Source organism: Homo sapiens, chromosome 1, assembly GCF_000001405.40.
Source record: "Homo sapiens chromosome 1, GRCh38.p14 Primary Assembly".
In the NCBI taxonomy this organism is placed as follows: Eukaryota; Metazoa; Chordata; class Mammalia; order Primates; family Hominidae; genus Homo; species Homo sapiens.
The window spans coordinates 192,698,272-192,702,865 of record NC_000001.11 but is presented as its reverse complement, the minus strand read 5'-3'; the positions used below and the strand labels follow the sequence as shown (position 1 = coordinate 192,702,865).

Here is a 4,594-nt window from a genome sequence, read left to right as displayed (position 1 = left end):
GACTAGGTTTCACCATGTTGGCTGGGCTTGTCTTGAACTCTTGACCTCAAGTGACCATGTTGGCTGGGCTGGTCTTGAACTCTTGACCTCAAGTGATCCGCCTGCCTCAGCCTCCCAAAGTGCTCGAATTACAGCAATAAACTACCATGCCTGAACCACTTCAATTCTTTTAATTATTGTTTACTCCTTTATAAAATAGATATAACAATAATACTCTCCTCAAGGAAGGCTATAAAGATGACATATATTCATGCATGAGAAAGACAATGTAAAGTTATAGGAGAACATTAAGTATTAAATTTATGCTATATGACACTTGAATTTAGTGCTTTGAAACCAAAGACGAGCATTCTTTCTTTTTTATTAGAATACACTGAATTTCTGCTTTTTATCTTGTTTTGCCTATTACCCTATGATTATCTCTTTTAGCTAGTGAGTCAGTTTTACTGATCTTTATCAAGTTATGTAAATAGAAGTGGTTTGGAACTTGGAAAAGGTTGTGAAAGATACCGTGATTACAAAAGTGCATTACAAAGTAACACACAGGAAGTATAGAATTTGAAAATGTAACAATTAACTAGCTTGTGTTGGAAAGTTGCTAGGCCTCCAATAATTTATACAGATATGATTTAATCTCCCAAATAAGATGGGATTCCTCAATCTATATTTAGCATTTCTCTTCTTCCTGGCAGGGATTTTAGAAGATTGTCACTCTACTCACCCTATTTTTAGAAATAATATTAATACTGTATGTTCTAAAATGCCTTCCAGCACAGGAATCTCTCCAGGTAGAGGAAATATTTAACTGTAAATAGTAGATGTATTCATCCCTAGCCAAGTATGTTCATTTTGGCTAAAGCATGCCCACATGTCTATTAAATGTTGTATTATGATAAATCCCTTATATGTGACTTCTAACATACTCCTTTATAAATATTTAGAAAAGAAAAATTGACCCAATATCCACTGGGTAAATTTGTACTACAAACCCAATAATTATTGCATGATGATTCCTCTAGGCATATAGACTGTCAGACTAAATTTTCCTTGCTTTGAAAATTAGCTAGTATAGTTGGTTTTAGAAGGTGTTGAGAAAATTGAGTTTGTGAATTGGAGCTCAGGTAGGCCAGCTAGCTTCATAATATTTTAGGATTATATTTTTACAAGTGCCTGTCATTGCTTTCAGCAGGAACCAGGTGAGATATAGAGACAGATTAGCAAAATCCTTCTTCCCCCTTTTTCTTGAGAAACTCAATATAGCATATTGAAAAGAGGTCACAGAAACTATCCTTGTACAATGAGATATTTTTCAGTATGCAAATTATAACATTTTCCATTAGAAGTTCAAATCACCACTTAAAGCATTTTTAGGGCTCTTTAATATCCTTCAATTTAGGACAAGTTGGACTTAAGGTGAAATTAAGTTCTATGTAACTCAGTTAATTTATTTTATACAGCTAAAATTATTTTATATTATGCTCTTAAGGTGATGTTAGCTATGTAAGTTGTAGTACTTAATTAAATATATAAATTGTATAAAATATATACATTGATAAAACTGATAAATTAATAAAAATATAACTTCTATTTAGATAGAACTAAGAATTAACTAAGAACCTCCCCTGAGCACTATAATTGGAAAACATGTAATGCTGTGGTATAGGAAATGCTTGCCCAATGAATCATCCATTTTCAAGTTAATCATTAATTTGGAAATTATGCTTTTCTCCATAGAAAACAGCATTAGCCTTATTTCCTCCAGAAAAAACTGAATAAAACACTTTTTTTGTGGCACAGAGAATAGTTGCCTTACCCAGAGCTCAGAAAACCACATAAACAGAGGAAGAATGTAATCTTGGTTAGCATGTAAAGCATGCAGCTGACATTTTGCAAGGCTTGTTATTAGAACAACATTCCCTCCTCAGCTGTAAGGTGGGTGAGTATGCAGCTTAGAATTAGACAGTCTGCATCTGAATTACAGTTCACCATTTCCCAACTGTGTGAGTTTAGAATTTACAAAATCCCCATAAGCTTGAGTTTTTTCAACTACAAAAGGAAGTAAAAATATCTACCTTGCAAGGTTTTGTAAATAGGATATAAGACAGTAAATGCAAGATATTTAACATAGTGACTGGCAAATATTTTCATCATGAGTAAATATTATTGCCATGTAGTGATGGATCTCAAACTTGAACTTTCAGCATGTGAAAAACTAGATTCTGAAAATAATATCTGGATACTCAAGAAATCAATGTTCATAGTAGATTAGGATTGCACAAAACCAGTGAATTACCCACTAAAGAAAAACAAGATGCTAAATAAAAGAGAAATTCACACCAGAACAGACTATTTTATTAGCCATTAGTATGGCTAAGTGTTTTACCAGTTACTGTTTTACCAGCTAAAGTGTTTTACCAGTTCCACTGTGAGAAGGACATGGAAGTTTATTCAGATCCTCATTTTTATCTACCAAATACTTATCATGAATGCTATGCATATGACCTATTTGTTTAATGCATTCATATATATAGAAATATTTCTAAACATATCAATATGTAACTTATTAATACTTAGGATTATTTATTATTTTCATTATCAATTAAAGTTTTGGGTATCTCATAAAATGCTGGAAAAGGGAATATTTGGGGTATTATTTAATATACAGATAACTGAACTAAGTGGACCCGACTGACCACTATAGGCAAGATTCTTTTGCAAAGAAGGAGAAAACTGATGACCGGTATGAATAGTTCAAAAACCAAAGACTGGAGTCAGATATGCTTCAGTTGAATTCCACATTTTCCATTTAAGAGATTAGACAATATTCTTAAATTCTCTGAGACGTCATTTTTCTATCTATAAACTGAATGTAATACTGCCTCTCTCTGATGATTATTGTAAGGTTATAAAAATTTTTGAAGGTGTCTTACATAGAACTGAACACAGTAGGCACATGATAAGTATTAAGTTCTTTTGTCCTTCCCTTTTCTTTTGAAAAATGCCATATTATCTAAAAGGAAATTTTCTCCTTTTGGGGCAGGGGGTGTATAGCTTTGCTGAAGCACTGTAAAGTGTTTGATATAATCATAGAAAAAAGGAGAAGTAGAACTATTTCAGTTGGAAAACTAAAGGAGTGAGATAATCAATGGACATAATTTATATTTACAAAAATCCTGATAGTTAATAAAGATCTTCACACATATATGGACTTTCCTAATATATATAATTCAGTTTGGAAAGTGCTTTTTGTCCTGTTAAAAAACTTTTGAGATAAAATAAATATGAAGGTCATATCTTAATAAAGTATTGCTAAATTTTTATCTCAATTGTATTTTAGAGAAAACTAAAATCTTACATGTTATAAACTAGACTCAGGTAGAATCTCTTTTAAATAATTTAACACACATTTATAAATATGCACAGATATATCACTACATTTTCACTGTGCTTTATTTATCATTAATTTGTTATAACTTCTACTATGTTTATTGAGCCTTTTTGAGAACAGCCACTGTTCACCTAACTGTATTTTGCCAACATTTACTTATGATGTTCTTGATTTAATATGATAGGGTTTATTTTTAGGGACTAAAGAGAGTTAGAAAAAAAAAGAGTTAGTAGTTCACAGAAAAATCATCACCTTTATATACCCTTTGCCTATTACACACAGGTTTATATCTGCTTTGTAAAAGAACACTCACACAATACTTGTTAAGAACCTTGTCTTTGGCTGGATGCGGTGGCTGATGCCTGTAATCCCAGCACTATGGGAGGCTGAGGCAGGTGGATCGCTTGAGCCCAAGAGTTCGAGACCAGCCCGGGCGACATGGCGAAACTCCGTCTCTACTAAAAATATAAAAATTAGCTGAACGTGGTGGCATGCGCCTGTGGTCGCAGCTACTCAGGAGGCTGAGGTGGGAGGACTGCTTGAGCCCAGGAGGCGAAGTTGCAGCCCAGATTGCATCACTGCACTGCAGCCTGGGTGACACAGCAAAAAAAAAAAAAGCTCTGTTTTATGTGGTCTTTGGTCTTTCAAAAATTGCAGGATGGCTCATATTGACCCAGGTGAGCATTTTTTTTTTTTTTTTTTTTGCCAGTCTGATAACATAATTTCTGTGACTATTTTAAAGAACAGCTGACTTTAGTACACTGTTTTAATACTTTGCTTCTCTTAACAGGAGCCATTAAGTTGTGAGAAATTTTAGTACTCGAGTTGTGTTGAATTTTTTTAGTTTTCTTCATAGCATAAAACTTCTCCTGAAAAGGAAGAGGTCAATATGGACATCACAGTGGACAATTTCTTGGAAGGATGATTTAGGCTTATTATGAAGCTTATTAGGCTTATTATGAAGCTTATTAGGCTTATTATGAATTAAAACTTATTATTAAGTATTAATGTAAATTCTCATAGGGCCAGGCAGATAACATAAATGAGATAAGTAGGAAGAATGAGAAAGTGTAATACCCTAGAGCTGTGAGGTCTACAGAAATCTGTAGCCCACATTTACGTGGTCCAAATAAATCACTTCTGAGAGCTTCATTTGCTTTTTGAAATTCTTGGTGCTGTCTTGTCTTAAAGCATGGGTCACATTTG

At 33.3% G+C, this 4,594-nt stretch overlaps 2 annotated features.

Annotated features, from left to right (window-relative positions):
* Nucleotides 1,631-1,775: an enhancer, noted in NCBI's record as "145 bp enhancer 26 fragment used in the MPRA reporter construct; PK_construct_480". NCBI's record gives its function as "activates an SV40 promoter by MPRA in HepG2 cells {active_cell/tissue: HepG2}" and the evidence as "EXISTENCE:reporter gene assay evidence [ECO:0000049][PMID:23512712]".
* Nucleotides 1,696-1,709: a transcriptional cis regulatory region, noted in NCBI's record as "HNF1 motif; enhancer activity is reduced when this motif is scrambled". NCBI's record gives its function as "necessary for full MPRA enhancer 26 activity {active_cell/tissue: HepG2}" and the evidence as "EXISTENCE:site-directed mutagenesis evidence [ECO:0005528][PMID:23512712]".